The sequence below is a fragment of the Homo sapiens genome, chromosome 8, assembly GCF_000001405.40.
Source record: "Homo sapiens chromosome 8, GRCh38.p14 Primary Assembly".
In the NCBI taxonomy this organism is placed as follows: Eukaryota; Metazoa; Chordata; class Mammalia; order Primates; family Hominidae; genus Homo; species Homo sapiens.
In genome coordinates, this window is record NC_000008.11 from 60,905,925 (window position 1) to 60,926,877 (window position 20,953).

At 47.8% G+C, this 20,953-nt stretch overlaps 1 long non-coding RNA gene and 1 pseudogene across 2 annotated transcripts, besides 6 other annotated features; one reads left to right on the top strand and one right to left on the bottom strand.

Moving 5' to 3' along the window:
* IFITM3P8 (IFITM3 pseudogene 8) lies at positions 115–676 on the top strand (annotated as a pseudogene).
* On the bottom strand, positions 3,540–4,874 carry LOC105375938 (uncharacterized). Of its 2 annotated transcripts, none has more exons than NR_168430.1 (3): positions 4,789–4,874; positions 4,568–4,675; positions 3,540–3,838 (listed from the first exon to the last, which is right to left on the bottom strand). It is a non-coding gene; the product is annotated as an uncharacterized LOC105375938 (long non-coding RNA). The 2 variants fall into 2 exon arrangements; NR_168431.1 differs by having other exon boundaries at positions 4,568–4,678.
* Positions 3,804–4,253: a silencer, noted in NCBI's record as "silent region_19231". NCBI's record gives its function as "represses an Ori minimal core promoter by ATAC-STARR-seq in GM12878 lymphoblastoid cells {active_cell/tissue: GM12878}" and the evidence as "EXISTENCE:reporter gene assay evidence [ECO:0000049][PMID:35858748]".
* Positions 3,804–4,453: a biological region, named in NCBI's record as "H3K27ac hESC enhancer GRCh37_chr8:61822345-61822846".
* Positions 3,862–4,363: an enhancer, noted in NCBI's record as "H3K27ac hESC enhancer chr8:61822345-61822846 (GRCh37/hg19 assembly coordinates)". NCBI's record gives its function as "activates a minimal SCP1, AML or CMV promoter by ChIP-STARR-seq in naive H9 embryonic stem cells {active_cell/tissue: H9 hESC(naive)}" and the evidence as "EXISTENCE:reporter gene assay evidence [ECO:0000049][PMID:30033119]".
* Positions 4,274–4,453: a silencer, noted in NCBI's record as "silent region_19232". NCBI's record gives its function as "represses an Ori minimal core promoter by ATAC-STARR-seq in GM12878 lymphoblastoid cells {active_cell/tissue: GM12878}" and the evidence as "EXISTENCE:reporter gene assay evidence [ECO:0000049][PMID:35858748]".
* Positions 16,192–16,705: an enhancer, noted in NCBI's record as "H3K27ac-H3K4me1 hESC enhancer chr8:61834675-61835188 (GRCh37/hg19 assembly coordinates)". NCBI's record gives its function as "activates a minimal SCP1, AML or CMV promoter by ChIP-STARR-seq in naive H9 embryonic stem cells {active_cell/tissue: H9 hESC(naive)}" and the evidence as "EXISTENCE:reporter gene assay evidence [ECO:0000049][PMID:30033119]".
* Positions 16,706–17,219: an enhancer, noted in NCBI's record as "H3K27ac-H3K4me1 hESC enhancer chr8:61835189-61835702 (GRCh37/hg19 assembly coordinates)". NCBI's record gives its function as "activates a minimal SCP1, AML or CMV promoter by ChIP-STARR-seq in naive H9 embryonic stem cells {active_cell/tissue: H9 hESC(naive)}" and the evidence as "EXISTENCE:reporter gene assay evidence [ECO:0000049][PMID:30033119]".

Sequence of the window (20,953 nt, forward strand, 5' to 3'; positions counted from 1 at the left end):
TTTCGCCATGTTAGCCAGGATGGTTTTGATCTCCTGACCTCGGCCTCCCAAAGTGCTGGGATTATAGGCGTGAGCCACCATGCCTTATTCACATTTTTAAAAGAGCTCCTGACAGCTGGTCTTTGCTGGACACCATGAACCACATGGTCCAAACCTTCTTCATTCCCTCAAACACCGGCCACCCTGCAACTATGAGATGCTCAGGGAGGAGTAAGAGGTGGCTGTGCTGAGGGTGCCCTACAACCCTCCTCCCTCAACGTCCGCCATGATCCACATCTGCAGCAAGACCTCTGTGCCCGACCATGTCATCTGGTCCCCGTTTAACAACCGCTTCATGAACTCCTGCTGCTTGGGCTTCATAGCATTCGCCTATTCCATGAAGTCTAGGAACAGGAAAATGGTTGGTGACCTGAGCAGGACCCAGGCCTATGCCCCCACTGCCAAGTGCCTGAACATCTGGGCCCTGGTTCTGCACATCCTTATGATCATTCTGTTTATCATCATCCCAGTGTTGATCTTCCAAGTCTATTGATAGAACAGGAGGCAGCATCCAGGCCAGGAGCTCTGACCATGACCTGTCTCCCACACACTCCACCTTCCATTCCTCGCCCTGTATCAGCCCTTTATCCTCACACACTTTTCTACAATGGCATTCAATAAAGTGCATGTGTTCCTGAAAAAAAAAAAAGAGCTCCCTGGCTAGAGGGTGGAGAGGGGACTAGGGAAGGAGCAGAAGCCAGGGCTTCCATTGTAAGGATTAAATGAGATAATGAATGTGTAGCATTCAGTGTCATAACTGACCCATCATCATTTCCCAGTTCATGTTAGTCATTTCTATTAATAATTATGATCTATATTATTAATAATAGTACTTCCTTGGCATCATAATCTGATTGTATAAACTCAACGTGTACACCAGAAACTAAATGTCCTCTCTGACTTCATTCACTACAGTGTCAGAAAAAAAAGTTGTTAGAAAAAATTCCCAGTCTGTGGCCTGGGGGTTAGGGAACCCCGGGTTTAGAGAAGACTCAAGCCTACTGTGTCTGAGTCAGGAGATGGGAAATGAGTTTACTGGCCTAGATGAAGCTCAAGTTAATGTTGATTCCCAAGTTCTTCACCTTATTATGGCCCACATAGCTAGCCAGATGTGCCAAGTGCAAACTTTTTGCTGAACCAGTTTGTGAAACACTTTTCACTAATTAGTATACCAAGCTATAAAAGAAGTCACTTTTTTGTTTTTTTTTTTGAGACGGAGTCTTGCTCTGTGGCCCAGGCGGGAGTGCAGTGGCGCAATCTTGGCTCACTGCAAGCTCCGCCTCCCGGGTTCACGCCATTCTCCTGCCTCAGCCTCCCGAGTAGCTGGGACTACAGGCGCCCGCCATCACGCCCGGCTAATTTTTTTGTATTTTTAGTAGAGACGGGGTTTCACTGTGTTAGCCAGGATGGTCTCGATCTCCTGACCTCGTGATCCACCCGCCTCGGCCTCCCAAAGTGCTGGGATTACAAGCGTGAGCCACCACGCCCGGCCAAGAAGTCACTTCTTAAACATACTTTGTTTTCCAGAAATCACAATACAGTACAGTACTTACTTTTGTGAGATTTGCTTCTGACCCAATCAAGGATACAAGCAGAGAGAATGTGTGTTTGGAGAGCTGGCATTCATGCAAATTTCAAGCTTTGGGAAAGGGATTTACTGGCTATCCAAAATCAAAGGCATGTACTTCTCAACCTCTAGGCAGTAGGACGGGATTGTATTCCTGTCTGACCAATGGGAAATCGGAGGCACAGTAGGCCTGAGTCTTCTCTAGACCAGGGGTCCCCAACCCCCGGGCCATGGACCAGGATTGGCATTTATAGCCGCTCCCCATTGTTCCCATTACCACCTGAGCCCCACCTCCTGTCAGATCAGTGTTGGTGCTAGATTCTCATAGGAGTGCAAACCCTATTGTGACTTGTGCATGTGAGGTATCTGGGTTGCATGCTCCTTATGAGAATCTAATGCCTGAAAATCTGCCAGTGTCTCCCATCACCCCCAGATGGGACCATTTAGTTGCAGGAAAACAAACTCAAGGGTCTTGCTGGGTCTACATTATGCTGAGTTGTATAATTATTTCCTTATATATTACAATGTAACAATAATAGATATAAAATACACAATAAATGTAATGCACTTGAATCATCCCAAAACCATCCCCCCACATCTGTGGAAAATTTGTTTTCCACAAAATGGTCCCTGGTGCTGAAAAGGTTGGGGATCACTGCTCTAGACCAAGAAAAAGCACAGAGTAAATGTGGGAGCAAAATGCTGAAGAACTTTGCTGACTCTTCTCAAAGCCTCATTTTTCCCATCTATCGAATGGCTGTAATAATCATGCCCTCCTTTTAAGGTTGCTGTGAGGATTGAGGGAGAGAATTCATAAATGTGTTTCCACTGGATCTGACACAAAAAGAGCTGGACAGTTGTTAATTGTTGAGGCTATCATTGTTACTCAAAGACCAAAGTACCTGCTCTGCTCCATTTGACCCATTTAATTCTAGATTAAAAAAGGCTGGTTCTGATAGTCTAAGTAGAACTGCTTTGGAGACCAGAAAATGTTAGTGTGATGACCTTCAGCATCCTATCTATGACACTAATTTGATCTTTGAGCCAGGATGAAACCTGGAAAAGAGCCCTTGGGCCACTGGCTCCAGCTGTGGGGTCTTCCGAGCGTCCCCTTTAACGTGGCAGACTCACAGCTTTGCGAGAGGTGGCTTTCCCAAAGCTGCTTGAAATTACACTCGTAACCTGGGAGTTTGATAAGCCAAGGGGTCTGGGGTTTCAATTCCCTCTGTCCTCTGCTTTTCTAACTCGCAGTAATTATCTTTGTAATGCTCTAATGCTGAATAATGATGCTGCTAATGCAGGCTGCACTTCGCGCACAGGTGCCAGCTGTTACCTCGCCGGGCAGCTGACCGCGCGGTGCACACTTGGGCGCATTCACTGAGCCCAGCCCCAGCCCACACCAACTAAACAAAGAAAGCCCAGGCCTTCCTACCGATCCACCCCGCCCCTCTCTCTCTCGGCCTTAAGGAGGCCCTTCTCCCTCCCTTCCCGGCCCACGCTCTCCTCCTCCACCCCTCCCTCACTTCTTCCCCTAACAGCCCTCCCTCCTCCCTTCGGTGGTTTCTTCCTGCAGCAGAAATCCAGGAAACCGCCCCCCACATTTCCTTTACCCACGATTTTCTCCAGAGTCTGACTCACACACAATTCAGCTTGATTTGGAGTTCCCTTTTCTCTGCCCCATGAGAAACCCCAGCTCTCCCATTCATTTCTGGGAGTACAGGCTTGCCAGATAAGGTTGCTTATTTTTGAGTCTGATAATTGACCTTTCATCATGGGGGTCGGGGGGAGGCATATTGAAGACAAATTACCAAAGAACAAATGTGAGGCTGTTGGCTTTACACACACACACACACACACACACACACACACACACACACACACACAAAGACCCTTTACATATTTGTCCATAGAACAGCCTTCAGCAGACAACATCTGCAGGATGAGTCGTTTTTCGGTAACTTTAATCTCGTAATTCATTGTTTCTCTGGTGCTGGTTACAGTAGCTAAGAGGGTGGAACGGCAGGACAATTTGTCACACAAACAAATTTAAATGTGGACCGAGGGGTTTGCCCACCTTATGATGAGTGGTTGACTTGTGGCCAAAAACACAAAACAAAAACAAAAACAAGAGGTGGGGTTGATGAGGTCTGGGGGACAAGAGTTGCAGTTTCGAAACAGAGTGGAGGCTCCTTTAATCTTGACAGCCCGAATGCTACAGGGGTCACAGCACATCTGCTCCGGAGGAAAGACAAAGGGCAAGGTGGGGCCACGGTAGCCCGCGCGGGGCTCTTGGCGGGCTGGGGGCGGCGTGCGCCGAGCTGGGCGCGAGTGGAGGGGCCGGCGGCTTTGTGCGCCCCCGCCAGTGCCCGCCCGCAGCCCCGCCGCAGCGTTTAACCTTGACTTCTCCCTCCTCGCTTCTGGCACGGGAGGAAAGCCTGTCCAGATGGGCGTCCTGAGTGTGACGACGTCCCCTCCCGCCCCCGCGCTCTCGCGCAGATGTCGCACGCTGCCCTGGGTCCCGCCACACCGCCCACCAAGGCCGCGGGCCCTGCGCGCCCGGGGCAGGCGGGCACATCCCGCACCCTCTCCGCCCGCCCGCCCCCGGCGCCCTTCGCATTCCCTTCTTCGGCCCTGGCCCCTCGGACCGGAGCGCCCAGGCCAGCTCAGGGTGTTCCCGTGGGGGTCTCCGGAAACAATGGTGAGCCTGTGCTCTGCTGGCTGGGGGGCGTCGTCCCCGCAGCTGGCGCGTCCCTCCAGGCTGAGCGCCCAGCGCCCCCCGCGGCCCTAAGTTGGGCCACCTGGCGGGGCGCTGCGGCCGGGCCGGGCGGGGACATCTGAGGCCCGACAGACCCGCGCTCATGGACAAGTGTCGCCCGCGCCGGGCAGGGCCGTGGAGACAGACCACGCAGTGACAGGCCGGAGGCGGCTCGAGGGATCCGTAATTTATGATGTTGTTCTTACCAATCCGGTTTGGGATTTCACAAGCTTTGTCAGTTTCCTTCCCATTTGTTGCTTCCGTCTGTCCTTTTGGAGAAGACTCTTTCCCTCCCCAGGACAGCAGCAGTTGCCCTACTGAGTTAATGTGATAAGGAGAAAAAAAAAAGGGATTGATGGTTAAGAGAATGGTTGAACACAGGTAAGGGGGTGGGGCTGAAAGAGAGGTTGCTTAGTCTTTTGTGTACCTTCGACCAATTCTACCCAGACCATGAAGAAAAAAGTAAGGCCATTTTCAGAGAGATGGGGTGGAGGGTTCACGCTGAGAGGTAGTGAGAGCAGATCTTCCTCACCGCTACCACCAATCATCCTCCTCAATTACAAATAAGCCCTTTGGCCCTAAGATTTTTCTTTGTTCTTTTTCTTTCTTTTTTTTTTTTTTTTGAGACGGAGTCTCTCTCTGTCACCCAGGTTGGAGTGCAATGGCGCAATCTCGGCTCACTGCAACCTCCAACTCCCGGGTTCAAGTGATTCTCCTGCCTCAGCCTCTCGATTATGTGGGACTACAGGCGCCCACTACCGCGCCCGGCTAATTTTTGTATTTTTAGTAGAGATGGGGTTTAGCCATATTGGCCTGACTGGTTTCGAACTCCTGACCTCAGGTGATCCACCCACCTCGGCCTCCCAAAGTGCTGGGATTACAGGCGTGAGCCCCTGCACCTGGCCAAGATTTTTCTTAAAGCGCTGCAGGTTGCCCCAAAATGAACTTGGGTCTCCAGAAGGTAAGGGGTTAATTGTTCCTCCTTGCAGCTCCCAATCTGGGCTGATCCCTGGGAGGGACCTGCATTGAGGCACTGCAGCCTTAGTGCTCCTAACTTAGGATACATTTGGGGACCCTTGGGCAAAAGGACACACCTGTCTTGAAAATTCCTTAAGCTGCTTTAGTGATTGGGGAAAACTTTATGGATTTTATTAACTTTTAGTGCAATGAATAAATGTTAGGCACAACAAAGAGCCCTAAACTAGCTGGGGAAAGTTTTTCTCAGGCCACTTTTCCAGTTTTGTTTTGATTTTTTTCTTGAAAAAAAAATGTATTCTAGACCCCTTCCTTTTCTCCTTTGGACTTGGTGTTGCTAAATGGAACTCAGGCCAGAGCAACTGTTGCAAATGCCTGCTGCGGTTGCCTCTACAACACAGGCCTGTAAAGACTAGAGTAAGAAGAGGTTTGAAGTGAGTAGTTCCCTCCCAGATGCTGCCAGTGCAGAGGCAAGGGGAGGGTGGTTCCGGCCAGGGGCTGCTCCCATTGCTCCTGTGGGTGAGGAGGGGACAGGCGTGGGAAGAGCCTCGAACTCCAGAGCCAGCAGCCCCTGCAGATGGCTGGGTCATTTTGTGGTTTACAAATGACCAAGTCAGGTTGAAGCCACAGTCACTGTGGTTACAGGCACCCGTGATTAGTCACACTGTTAGTGACCCAGTTACGGCACACCCTCTTTTAAAAAGGACATTATTCAACATCTTGCTAGCTTGATTTCAGAAATTGTCCCTGTATATAAGGAAAATGAAAACTGCAAGGGTTGGGGGATTGAAATCTAGGGTGTGTATTTAGGACTGCCAGGAGTTTGGTCTGCTGAAAAGGAGCACAGGTGGGGTGTGACTTTTGTGGCAAGTAGAATTCCACTGAACTTGAACTAGAGATTGCCTTCCAAGTTCAGGTACGACCCTTTCACAGGGCAGTCTCAAAGGGGTCTGGGAGAGAAAGACAAGGGCCTCCTGAGCTTCGACTTGGCTCATGTGTTTGTGGCCATCTGTGAAATGAAAGTGGGGAGTGAGGAAAGCAGGAAGGGGAAGAAGAACCCTGAATATGGAGACTTGTGTGGGTTTTTACTTTTTAAAAATAGCATTTCTTTTACCACAATGCTGCAAGAACTTGTAAACATGAATCCCCAGCAATAGTAAACAAATTAGTCTAAGTTCTTTTATGTGAAAAGTAAGTAGAGCAAGTGTCTCTTGGTCTCTGTCTCTCTATCTCTTTCACTCTCTCATTTTTTTTTTCACAAAGAGAAAATGCAAAACAAAAATATCCCCTCCTCTTAAAAGCTTCTTTGCTGGTGAGTGTTTGTCCAGGAACAAATAGTCTTTTATTCGAGTGGTGTCCAAAAGTTCATAAGCAAAAAAAGTGCCCAACGTCTGGTTACCCACAATACAGTCTCTGGCTACATAGTGGAGCTTTTCTGTCCTGAATTTGTGATCTGCTATCAGAGTCCTTTAATTTTTCTGAACAGAAGCCTCTTTGGAAGAAGAAAGGATGGGGGTGGGGAGCAACACTGGAATCGGTCTTTTTTTTTTTTTTTTTTTTTTTTTTTCCTTTTTGCTGTTTTCTTCCAGTCAGCAAGTAGTGCTTGGATTCTTCTGATCTTTCCCAGCATCTTCCTGAGGTGCGGGCCACGGAAGGGTTAAGGAGGCTGCGGGCAGGTTTTTCCCTGCAGGGGTGGGGCAGCTGGGCAGGCACCACCCACCCCTGAGGCCCTTTATCTCCTTTGGAGATTTTCTTTTTACAGCGTGTTTAATGCAATCTTCAGTGATGACCGTCTTTTTAAAGCCATAGGTTTCCTTTAACTGTCGGGAGTCTACAGATATTCTCGACATTCCAAATGTAGGATCTGGTGAGATGAAAGGAAAGAGGCAACTGATTAGGAAGAAGATGGACTATTGTTTTGAGAGATGGGCAAAAATAATGATTTGAAACTAAATTTTAATTGCTGATAAACAATCAGTTTAAACATTTGGCTGCTTTTTGTTGGTGGAAGCTTCAATTTCAATGAATTCAATTTGACACACTTTTACAGAGCAGCCTTGGTAAAAGCCAGGTGCTCTCCTATGTGCCCCAGATGCAGGTGAGAACAGGGTACCCCAAGGCCATGCTCTCATGGAACTTTTATGGGGTGGCGGTGGGGGCTAGGAAGTAATTTTAAAAATAACTTTTGGATAGAGATAAGTGCCTTGAAGATAATAAAACAGAATAGAGAGGTTTCTCTGAGGAGTTGATATTTGAGCCAACCATGGTGCCCCTTGGAAGAAATGGTCCAGGCAGACATCCACATAAAGGCCTGAGGCTGAAATGAGCCGCGTGGAGGCCCCTGTCACCGGGATGGGGAGAAATAGAGTGGAGAAGGGGTTCAGGGTCCCTTCACCCACCGATTCCTCTGTGCTTACCAGCGTTGGTGATTTGCACAACCCCAGGGGTGCTGTCATTACTGTGGGCTGCCTGTAACCGGCATCTACTGTGATTCAGGTCCAGTTGCAAGCCAGCAACACAGCTGACAGTTCAGACCCCATCCCTTTTATCTGTAAATCTCCTTTGCCTTGACTTTAAAGCCAGCCATATTTATTGAAAGCAGCAGAAGCAGCAGAACAAAGACAAATAAATGGTGTCTGATGTGCAGGAGGGAGGTGCAAAGGAGTGTGTCTTGGGAGCTGGCAGACTGGTGGGAGGGGCTGGGTTGCAAAGGTTTGAGGTGAGAGATCCATGACTCATCCAATGGAGGACCAATATTCCTCTCAGGTGAATTTTGTACCCACTGGAAGCAGTCCTCTCTGACGTGGGCATGGCTTCCTTTCTCCTCTTCCTTTGATTCTCCTTCTGCCTATATGTCCCAGAGGCCTGAAATTCAGTCCCCAAATCTGCCCCACATGTCTTCCTGGAGGCCTGCGGCTCTTCACTCACACTCCCTGGCCTGGGTAGTGAGTCCACAGATTTGATTGTTCTCCCCACAAAAGCACCAAGTCAACTCGGAGTTCCTAGGAAAAGAGATTCTCTCTCCTCCCTTCATGCTTCTCTCTCCTTTTTTTTCTTTCTTTTTTTTAGATGGAGTCTCACTCTGTCACCCAGGCTGGAGTGCAGTGGCGCCATCTCGGCTCACTGCAACCTCTGCCTCCCGGGTTCAAGTGATTCTCCTACCTCAGCCTCCCAAGTAGCTGGGATTACAGTCGCATGCCACCATGCCTTGCTAATTTTTTTGTATTTTTTGGTAGAGACGGGGTTTCACCATGTTGGCCAGGCTGGCCTGGAACTCCTGACTTCAAATGATCCCCCTGCCTCGGCCTCCCAAAGTGATGGGATTACAGGTGTGAGCCACCGCACCCGGTCCCTGCTTCTCTTTTTCCTAAACTTAGGTTCTTGATGGACAAGGGTTTTCCAGTCCTTGGGAAGAAATATGAGGGAGAGGAAGAAATAAAGGAAGAGTAAATGAGGCAGCAGGAAGAAGAGGAACTAGGGGCTGAGGTGGGGGTGGGAGGACTCTTCCGCCTTCATCCCCAGGTCTCCATGTTGGGGAAAGAATTGTTGTCAGGTGTAAGTAAACTCACGCGCTAAGATTGACTGTTTCTGGCATCTTTTAAAATGGGGTGCTGTGGACACCCCAGCTGTTTGCCTCAGGCAGTTCCCCTAGTGGGGTCTCTAAATGGGTGGGTCTGCCTACCTCCTGTTCCTCTCAGGGCCTCTGTCTCCTGCCAGGGCTGCAGGGAGCTTTACACACGGGCCCTGGGAAGTTGATTGGAAGCTAGCAGTTCATCTCTGCACTGCCAGCTCTCAACGGCCCTTTGGCCTGTTGAAAAGCGCCCAGAATGGCAACCCTGGGGCTATTTACAGTCAGGAAGCAGAGAAGGCTCTGGAGAAACCACCTTAGCTCACTCTTTTGGGCAGAGGCAGCTGCTAGGCAGAGGCAGGGACATGGGTCTAGAGGCCTTGGGCCTCCTTCTCTCCTGGCCTCTGACTGTCACCCTCTCCTGGCCCCACTCATCAGATAGGAAGCTAGGCTTCCTATCTTTTCAACTTCAATTCTCTTCCACAATAGAGATTTCTGCTTTGTTTCATCAAGCTATCTAGAGTCACAGAAAACTGATATTCCCCTTCCCCAACCCCGCCATTCCATCTTTCCCTTGATCTCCCAAGTTCCAGCTCTGAGTTCCAAGACAATGGGTCTGAGTCCTAGCTCTGCTGCTTTCTGGCCATATGACCTCAATAAGCTGTAGGCTTTCTTGGAGCCTCAGGTAACTCATTTATAGAGTGAGAATAATAGTGGCACCCATCTCATAGACTTGCTGTGAGAATTAAACAAAGTCATTGATGAAAAGTTCCTCAAAACATGCCTTGCTCATGCAAAGGGCTTAAATACAGGCTGGCCATTACAACAATCAGCACTGAATCTTGCAAGCTAGCTCCTCCTTAATCTCTCTCCTCTCTTGGCCTTCATAACCTCATATTATGCTCTGGGGATGGACTCTAGTCTCTGCTTTCTCACTCATTCCTTGAAGTCCTTCTTCCATCTTCGTTTCTGCTCTTCTTGACTTAACTGTCAAGTTCCTGTTGGCCCTATATTTGGCTCACACTGTAGAAGCTCCTTCCTTCATTCTTCCACCATCACCTCTAGACAAGTTACTTCCAAATTGTCATTTCTGGCCCTTGCCTCTCTGCAGCTGGTGTCCTGCCACTCTAAGTGTCACTTGGACTTCTTGTGCCATCACAAACCCAATGAGACTCTCACAAAACCAAATCATCATCTTCCTGCTAAACCAGAAATCCTCTCTCAACTTCCAAATGTCTTGGAGCCATACTGGTTCCAACTTCTCCTGAATACTCTTCTTCTCTACCACTGTCCTCATCTACTGAGACTGGTCCAAAGCCCCTTTGTTCTTACTGACTCCTTCTCACAGCTATTTCTTTTCCAAGACCATCATACATGCCTAGATCCTGAGCACCTCATGACTGTGATGCTCTAGTTGCTATATAACCAGGCCCCCAGGTTCCACATTCTCTTCTCTGATCACAGGATGGGCTCAGCATTGGAGATATAACAGAGCAATACCCTGCCTACAGGGAGTTTACAGTCAAACCAGGGAGAAAGACAATCAAGTAATTACAGTGAAGGTTGGCAAGTACTCTGGGTGGTCAGGCACAGAAGGTCACAGGGCCACATACTAGGGATACTTAACCTTAAGTTCAGAAGATCAGATAAGACTTTGTGGAGGACATGAAATCTAAGCTGAGGCACAAGAGAAGAGTAAGAGCCGCTAGGTAGGGGAGGAGTTCCACACTGAGAGGCACAGGGTACACAAAAGTCCTTCAGGCAGATAAGCATGACATGTTTGAGGAACTGAAAGCGGTTCAGCCTGGGCAGAGTGTGGGCAGGATGCTGAGACACAGGACTGGAGAGGTTACAATGAACAGTGCCCTGGAGACCACGCACATGAGTTTTGATTTTACCCTAAAAGGAAAGCCATGGGAGGGTTTTAAATGCTGTCGCCCATGCGCGAGCATGTGAGTGTGTGTGTGTGTGTGTGTGTGTGTGTGTATGTGTTTGTGTGTACACTGACCAGACTTGAGTATTGGCTGTTGGAGAGGAGCAAGACCAAGGCAGGGAAACCAGCAAGGAGGTTGTGGCCTGTAACACGGGAGGCGGTGGAGCCTGCACTGGGGTGGGGCAGAGAAGCAGAAGGACATGGGCAGTATTTGAGAGGATTTGAGATAGGTTGGATATGGGAAGCTAAGAAGGGAGGGTTGAGGGGAACTCACAGGTCAGAAACCTGGGAGGATATTAGTGATTCATTGAGTTTGGAAACTTTGGGAGCATGTGGAGGGAAATGGATGGGTTCACTCACTTAATGAATACTGAGTCTGAGGTTCCTGAGAGACATCCACATGGATATGTGTTTGGGAGCACTGGTCATGATTGGCAAAGCCAGGCAGAGACTTGTGACTTGAGATTCTGACAAAGTGTGTGTTTATTGCTTCTGTAGTTTGAGATTTCTTTCTTTCTTCCTTTCTTTCTTTCTTTCTTTCTTTCTTTCTTTCTTTCTTTCTTTCTTTCTTTCTTTCTTTTTCTTTTTCTTTCTTCTTTCGTTCTTTCTTTCTCTTTCCTTTCTTTCTTCTTTCTTTCTTTCTTTCTTTGTCTTTCTTTCTTTCTGTCTGTCTTTCTCTCTCTTTCTCTTTCTTTTTTTTTGAGACAAGGTCTCACTCTGTCGTTCAGGCTATAGTGCAGTGGTACAATCATAGCTCACTGCAGCCTTGACTTCCCAGGCTCAAGCTATCTTCCCACCACAAGCCTCCCAAGTAGCTGGAACTACAGGCGCACACCACCACACTTGGGTAATTTTTTAAAAAAAAATTTTGTAGAGACAGGGGTCCCACTATGTTACCCAGGCTGGTCTCTAACTCCTGGGCTCAAGCCATCCTCCCACCTTGGCCTCCCAAAGTGCTGGGATTACAGGCATGAGCCACCGCACCTGGCTTGTAGTTTGACATATTTTTATTGCGGGAAAAGAAATTCACTCAAGCTAGTTCAAATAAAATGTGGTATTGTTCAAATACAGAGGGCTCCATGGGAAACATTGTCCACAGGGAAGCTGTGAGAATGGGAAAAGCTCTTCTGAACTACACAGGAGGACCATATGGCCTCTTGTTCCTCCATTTCTGCTTCCCTCCCTGCTTTGTAGGCACGTCTTCTCTGCTTATCCATGTGGCCTCCATCCTCTGTTATCTTTGCTCTCTACAGAACCAATCCTTTCTACTCCCCCAACTGGCCTAAGATCTGAATTGAAAAGCTTACGCTAGACTTTATCACAATTTATGCATCTCCTTATGTAAATTATTGAGAAGTTAATGGCTCAGCAGCTTTGGGTCAGGTGACCATTCTGGTCCAATCAGTGACAGCAGTGTGTGTGTGTGTGTGTGTGTGTGTGTATGGTGGGGAGGGGGATTCTATGTAAGGGGTGTAGTCAGACCAGTTCAATACAGTGATTTTTGGTAGGACAGGATGTTACACTTATTTATTTGTCTAACCTATTAAATGTTTCTGCTGCTACTATGTCTTTCACGTAGCAGGAGGAAAGCATAAAACACTGAGTGTGAGTGGCCCCTTTACCAGTGAGATCTTGAGCAATTTACATGCACTCTCAGAACTTCAATTCCCTACTCTGTAAAATCAGTGTCTCCTTTACCAGCAGAGGGAATTAAATGAGATAACGCTGTGATGTGCCCAACAGATGGTAGGAAGCACTCATGACTGCTCCTTTCCTCCTGTTACTTCTTCTTATGCTTGTTCAAGTCACTGTTTTTTCAGAAAACAGAAATTGTACTTGTCAAGTCACTTTTTTTGAGTGATTCCTATGCATAAACATTAACCAATATTTATGGAATGATCATATATTTTATTCCATTAGCAAGTAATTATAACCACTCAATAACATCTTGGAAAACTGAGATGAGAAAAAATCATTTACTCATAATCCTGCCATCCAAATAAAAACATAAACCATTTGATTTATTTCTTTTTAGCTTCTCTTCTAGGCATTTTTTAATTTTACATAATATAATCATAATTTATACATAATAAAATGTATTTTAAGATGTTTAAACCTAAATTATTTGCAGAATGAAAAACATACTTTGAAAGCATTTGACTTTCATTAATCTAGAATATCGATTGACATCTTATTGTAATTTCCTCTGTTTCACCCAGCACATCTCAGGATGGGGCAATATTTGGTGAGAACCATATTGGATTCTACCAAATTACAAATATATTCCAGGTAAGAACTATGTCCATTCAACTGCACTTTGAGATGTTAGATTTAATGCAAGGCTAATGAGGCCAAGCCGTAGGTTTCATTTTCACAGGAGCCAATTAACCTTACTACTATATCCACAGATTTTACCCCAATCCTGGTTTCCCACCTTGAAAATGAGTGCCAGGGGTCATAAGGAAGACTGAAAGAGAACATAGAGAGTTCAGTGCAAATCTATTGCCGTTACCAGACAGTAATTCAACAGCTTCATCTTTGAACCATTAGGTGAGCTTCTATTAGGTGAAGTTCCATTAGGTAAACAATTAGGTGCATTCTAGATACAGCTAGAATACAACTAGTCCAGAACTAGCTCTTTTCAAGGATGTTATATGTAAAAATCTCTTTAGCTTCAAGTGAAACAGGGTTAAGCAGCTGTAAACCGTGATGAATACTAGAGAATTCCTTAAGCAGTGAAGTCTTTCCTTAAATAAACACCACTCAGCTGGTTGGAGTTAGTAATTCTGAGAGAAGTAAAGTATACCTGCTGATTGTTCTATGACATGAATAAGCCTTGGAGAAGATCTTGAAAGCACTTGGGAGAGGTTGGATAAATTGATATATGCTGACTGTCTTAGTCCAGTCATCCGGCTAGAACCAAATCCCAGAGACTGAGGGGCTTATCAACAACATACATTTATTGCTCACAGTTCTGGAGACTGGGAACTCCATGATCAAGGTGCAGGCAGTTTCAATGTCTGGTGAGGCCCTGGTTCCTGGTCCATAGATGGTGTCTTCTAGCTGCATCATCACATGGAAGGGGGAGGAGTCTCTTTCAGGCCTCTTTTATAAGGGTCCTAATCTCATGATCTAATTACCTCTCAAAGGTCCCACCTCCTACTACAATGGCTTTGGGGTATAAGATTTCCACATAAGAATTTGGGGAGGACACAAACATTCTGACCATAGTACAAATTATCGCATTTACCTGGTGACATCTTAGAGCAGACAAAAATTTTAAAAATTCCATTAGAGAAAAATGCATCATGCTCTTGGGGAAATTTTTGAAATGATACCAAATATTTGTCACTGAGAATCTGCACTGATAACATTTACTTTCTGTGTGCTTATGTGCTTGCTTTTAAGGTTGGCCTGATCACTCACTCACCACTCCCTGCAACTCCATGGAGAAGATATAAGCTGTCAAAAATGTATTTGTGAGTCTGATGAGCTCTTTCACCCAGGTGACAGGGGTTTCTGCCATATTAATATTCTTCTTCTTCTCCACCTTTTGTGTTTCAATGCTGGGCCTGGAGAAGGCAGGGACCTTGGCTCTTCCACGGTGGCTGTTCATCAGCACTCACACATCCACCACACCGGTTTAGTCGCACGCTGGAAGGTAAATGTGTACCATGGAAGATATCGGGCTGTTTTTGTAGCATCTGGATTGCCACTGCCCCCTCCCCTCCACTACCCCAAGTCCTCTTTTCTCCTCTTTGGAGAAGACACAGTTCAGGCTAAGAGCTCATGTTTGAGGCCTCGCTGAGTTGCTGTTTGATATTGTTCTTGCTTCTTACCACATTGGTGGCATTGAATGTCCTTATTGATTTTTGCCTGATTGGTCTAACTTAGAACAGGATCAGCTTCATAAATGGGACATCTTGTGGGCTGAAATATGAGATTTGTTTTAACAAACCACTCCTAACCATCATCTCTTTAAGGGAAGCCAGGAAAGGCAATTGCTGAATTTCTTCTTGGCCTTCTCTCTGGTTATCCCTCTCACTCCTCCTACTTTTCCTTTTCTCTTTCAGGCTGCTTTCTCCTACTAGTTACAAAACAAACAAAAAACAAACAAACAAAAAAAACAAAACAAAACAAAAACTAAACTAAACCAAAAACAATAAATGCCAAACAATACTCAAAGAACTACCAAATTATTCCCTGGGCCCCTGAATCAGATGGAGCTGAATCATTCTGGCTGCTAACTGAGTGAAGGGTGTTGGGGAAAAGTGCCATTGTGTAAGTTAAGGAAAGGGTCAGAGAACCGAAAAGACGGCAGCTGTATGAAAGGGCTTCTGTGCTGGGATTCTCCTTTTAAGCTATCCAAAGGCACAAATCAAGAACCGCAACCTTGGAGATATGACAAATGAACACAATTCTGGTTTTTTGTTTTATTTTAAAGTGAAATTCCACTGTTTCCCAAGAATTTGCACATGAAGCTTTACATATTTTTCATGTCAGCCCCCTTCCTTGCCACCTTTGTTTTCCAGCCTGCCTCCCCTTAACAGCTGGACACATCACCGTTCCATTTTTCTATTAGTTGTGACTGAAGTAGCTTGAGGTCAATTATTTCCCCAGCAATTGACAAAGAATCTTGATGAAGAGGAAAGTGACATTGTCCCTTGAACAACACTGCTCCCTCCTCCCCCTGCCCTCCCGGCTGAGAGGAGAGAGCAGGGCAGACTTTCCTTTTGCAAGGAGCCCAGCAGGGCGGTGGCGGTGGGGTCTGTGGAAGTGCGTGGGTAACATATGGTAAGTGGAGAAAATATTTATATTCATGGTGAAAGAGCAGGAGAAGATCCAAAGAAGGTCATTCCACAGAGATTTCAAGCAAGAGACACTGACTTGATATTGTATCTTTGACCTGGATACAACAGAGAATTTAAAGAAAGAGTTTTCTTTTGTGGCTTTCCTGCCACCGTTACTTCCAACAATCCGAATTATTGGCAATTTAAAAAAGAAAAGATTCCGCCCACTAAACTTGATAAAAGTATCACACTGGCCCTTCCCCGGGCCCTGGCCAGGCTGCCACGCCTTCTCCCCTCCCCCTGCGCCAGGTCCCCAAATCCAGAATTCGGAGCCGCGGTCACTGAGCCTGTGCCTTGGGCCTGCGGGCGGTGTTTGTTGTTGTGACTGGGCGGCTAGGTGAGACGGAGCGCACGGGCAGAGTGCGCATTTGGGGCGACTGGTTCTTGGGGGAAGATATAAATAATGAATCGGTGTTAGATTATTTTCTGATGAGACACATGAAACCTCCAGTGCTTTCAGCAGGCATTTTGCATCACAGCTTCCTAAGAAAGGTAAAAGGCCCTCTTTCGGTCCCCCAGTGGCAAAATTCGCAGCTGTCGCCCAGCACCACAATCAAATGCGTGCGGGGCTGCGGGACAGAGGCGTCCTCGCGTACCCTCGGACAGACCCACAGCTGTCTGGCGGATACACACGTGCGCGTCTGGTCGACCGGACCAGCAGCTGCTTGCGTCCCCTCTCCCGCGCACGGTGGCGGCCCCGCACCAAGACCCGCTGAGGAAACGAAGAGTAGGGTCATTTCCCATCTTGCCGTCGAAAGTTTATCCCATTTCCCGGGTGTGCAGGAAGAGATGGCGCGAGGGCAGGAAGGTGTGAAACTGGGGTTCTGCGGGAGACCCACCGTGGCTCTATATTCACTCTCGTTTGAAAACTGCCAGCGTTCCACTCCCCCTAAATTCCAGTTCCCGAGGGGGAGGTAGTGAGATGGGATACAGGTGCGTCTGGGTCCTCGCTTGGGAGGGGTTCTCCCACTTTGGGACCCCTCGTGGAGCAGCCCATAACCGACCGGCCTGCTGTACAGAGGCCATGCTTAATGGATTCTCGCAGATAAAAGGGCCTGGCTACCTTTCTTTCCTATAATGGCCCCTGAGGCTAATGTCTTAAAGAGGAAACAAAGGGATTGTTTTACAGCACACAAGGGGGGTGGCGGGAGGAACAGGGAGAGGAGGAGGAAGGGGCATTGGATACGCGGAGCGGGAGGAGGCCTCCCGCTTCTTAACCCTTCACCTCCTGCGACCGCCCAGGTCTCCCGAGCTCCGCACCCTCATCCAGGACCCGAAACAGCGGGGAGGAGGCGACAGTGCGTGGAGGGCCCCGCCCTGTGACTCGACCTCCAGCTCTCCTCACCTCCTTCCCCGTCTTTTTAAAGAACTTCTGAAAGGGAGAACGGAAAAGATGAGGGGACCCATATCTCGTGAGCTGCAGTTCTGAAAAGTCAGTTCTAGAGGGGTCGTCTCTCGCGAGGCCCGGGTGCCCACACAGGATCGACGCGTGGCAGTGCCACCTGGGCCCGGACTCTGGGACTGCGGGAGGCGGGAGCGCCTGGGGCCAGGACCTGGGCGTACGCTGAGGGCACCCGGTGAAGGCCGGGGAAAGTGGGGCAGCTCCGAAATGCGGCCTGCACGTCGCCCTGGGAGTCGTTCCCGGGCCCCTCTGCAGACACAGCCTTCAGGTGTGAGCGGTGTGTGCGCCGGCCGGGGGCGTCTCTTACAGGAAGTTTATATTTGCAAACTGGGCGGTGGGGGGGGGGGGGGGCGGGGCGCGGCGGGAGAGAGAGAGTCTCAGTGGCTTCTGCTTTCTGGCTTTTCTGTTCTGGCTCCAGGAAAAGATCAAAACAATAGTTAAATAGCAATTGAAGACAAGTGATGTAAGAAATAAACAACTCGACAACAAAAATGCCCATAGGGACGGTTTTTTAAAACCCTTTATTATGGAAATCAGAGCACATGCACAAAAGGAGAGAGAAAGGTATTGTGCAGTGGGTCTCAAATTTGATCAAGCATCCGAACCGCGGAGCGAAATCCTCTGGAGGGCTTGTTAAAACACAGATTGCTGGGCCCTAGCCCTAGAGTTTTTTGTTGTGTATTTTTAAGCAGATCTGGGGTCAGCTCCCTCCTGAGAATTTGCAACTTGTTAGAGCCCTCAGGTGGTGCTGCTTCTGGTTTGGAAAGGACACTGCTATCCACTGGTCCAATAAATCTCCGCGTACCCTCTCCCACCTTCAATATGTACAACACCTCCCCACTCTGTTCATTCTATCCCCTCCCACATTTTGTTTGGTTTGCTGGAGAATTATAAAGCAATTCCCAGCCATCCTATCATTTCACCTATATAGATGATTTTTGATTCGGTGGTTACTTAAGCCGAGAGGACTGCAGGCTTCCTTGTGGTCATTTCACATTGGGGCAGAATCTGGTACCTCTCTCTGGGAAATCCATGCCCATATCTTGGTTCTGAGACCACCCTTCGGGAGTTCCTTTCCAGCAGATTGTCACATGCCCAAACATCACCACTGGGTCTGCTGGCAAGCTGGCCTGGCCTGGTCAGGGCACCACCTGGTCCCCATCTTTCATTTTCTGCTCATTGTCCCCAATCTGTCATCATGTACTCCCACAACCATCGTTTCCCCTGAGGTATTTTCCTAACAAGGCGTCTCCCCTCCAGGGTGGAGTTCTGAGTGCCTAGGGATGGGGTGGTACCCACAACAGTGCAAGCCCATAGGATTATTTGCATCAGTTAGGTCCAGGACTCACACCCCAAGGGGAGCTTCTCTGGGCTACTTGACCCTCCGCATAATTCCTGATTGGAAAAGGGGACATTCTAGGCATAGCTTCTGGGAATGGCCATCACTGACATCTGTCGTAACCTCCCTTGATTGTCGGGCCCTAGCTCAGTCTGGCTATCTGTGTTGCTTCTGTTCCAGAGAGGTGCCAAGTGCTCTCTTAGACTCCACCTGGCTAGTCCTAAGTGTGCAGCCTCTACCTATCTCCTTGCCTCTCCTTTGGGCCGCTCCGAAACAAGCTTCCCTTCTTTCCCTCCCCTCCCCTCCCCATCCTGGTTTAGGATACCATCTGCTCCTTCCACAGCTTTCTCATCCCAGCCCCTCCCAGTCCTATCCCCACCTCAACCCTCAGAGGTCTCTTGGGCTGTTACAAAGTTTAGACATTTTTTTTTATTTTTTAAACTTTTAGAGATGGGGTGTCACTTACTGTGTCACCTAGGCTGGAGTGCAGTGGTGCGAATTCGGCTCACTGCAGCCTCAACCTCCCAGACGCAAGCGATCCTCCCACCTCAGCCCCTAAGTCACTGGGACTACAGGCACGCACCACATAGGCCTGTTAATTGTTGTATTTTTTTTTTTTTTTGTAGAGACAGGGTTTTGCCCTGTTGCCCAGGCTGGTCTTGAACTCCTGAGCTCAGGCAATCCGCCTGCCTTGGCCTCTCAAAGTGCTGGGATTACAGGCATGAGCCACTGTGCCCGACCTAGACTCTTTTATTGTTCTCTTTCTTTTCCTGACTCTTCATGAAGCAAGCATACTATATGAATTCTTCATTTTTCCATCTGCTGTTAAAGAAAGCCCCGGGGATGGAGTAGGTTCCTCCACCCCAGAGCTCTGTTCCTATTTTCATATTGCCTCATCTTCCTATGTTTTTCTTCCTTCACCAGCCTGGAATTAGCTGTCACTTTTGTATTTTCTCATGAGTCCTACCACTTGCCTTTGCTTTTCTAGCCTTTCTCAAAGAAATGCAAACAGCTTGTGTTTTTTCCCCTTGGGTCCTATTGTACCTACTTTTGTTTGATGGTCTCTCTGTCTCCCATGATGCCAGTGAATGTAGCAGTTTCTCTCCACTTCCACCAGTGCCTGGGGAAAATTTGGTATTGGCAAATTTGAGTTCTGCCTTTTTGCAGCTTGCATTGCTGGATTCAACCTTAGGAGCCTCAGTTCCCTTATTTATTCACGCGACACATCTGTATGAGCCTTTACTACATGCTAGGCGCTATTCCAGCTGCTGGGGATACAGCACTGAGCAAAACAGACATTGTCTTGACTTCATGGAGGTTTTGGAATATGTAATTATAAATGTTATATATTTTAGCCTGGGAGACAGGCAATAAGGGAAGTAAGATGGCATACTAGAGAATGATTAAGTGCTAAGGTGATATATGGGGTCGGATGTGTTTACGTAGGGGTTGGTATGGATATTTTGTTTTGTGTTTGTTTTGAAACAAAGTCTCACCCTGTCACTCAGGCTGTAGTGCAGTGGTGTGATCATAGTTCACTGCAGCCTCAACCTCCCAGGCGCAAGTGATGCTACTTCCTCAGCCCTCTGAGTAGCTGGGTCTACAGGCACATGTCACTGTGCCCAGCTGTTAAATTTTTTTGTTGTTGTTGTTTTGTAAAGATGAGGTCTCTCTATTGCCCACGCTGGTCTTGAACACCTGGGCTCAAGCAATCCTCCCGCCCTGGCCTCCCAAAGTGCTGGGATTACAGGCATGAGCCACCGCACTTGGCCAGTGTTGATATTGTAGATAGCATAACCAGAGCAGGCTTCCCTGAGAAGTTGACGTTGGGCAAAGGCCTGATGGAAAGGACCTCCTCTGTTGAATGTGGATATTAATATTTCACACACTTGTAAGTGGGAAGATGTGGGTGGAAAGCTGCACATAAAGATAGAGCCACTTGCCTTTGTCTTGTCAATGCCTTCTTCTGAAGTTGTGTTCGCTAAAATCGTCTCTGAACACAATACAAGGTTAGCATTCCTCTGATGGCTTTGGCGGCCGTTTTTCCTGTTACACACTTCTTTAGGTCAGCCCTAGCTTGCTGGAGAGTCTCAGTGCGAAGCCTGGCTCATTCTTCCCTAACTCTGCAAAAACATGATGTCACTGGGGAGGTAGGACAAAGTACCCATGGGCAGGACTAGGCGGGGTGTCACTGTCTCCCTTACATTTTTGTGGCCTCAGTGACAGTGCAAAGGAAGTGATAATGCAGAGGCTGATTTTTAATTTGAGGAGGTAATAGTGGTCAGGGGAGAGTTCCCCATGAGAAAGAGGATGAATTATCTGGCTGAGGCAAATGCTGAAACTAGGTTGTAACCGCAGCAGCAGCAGCAGCAGCCGGTTGTTATATTCATTACAGTTGCTGTGCCTTTTAGCAATCGTCCTAGCTGCTGTTGCTGGTTGTTTAGTAGACCAGAAATCCTCAGGGGTGTTCATGCCCCATCCTGTTGGGCATGCAGCAGGTGCTTCTCAGTATGCCGTGGTCCAGT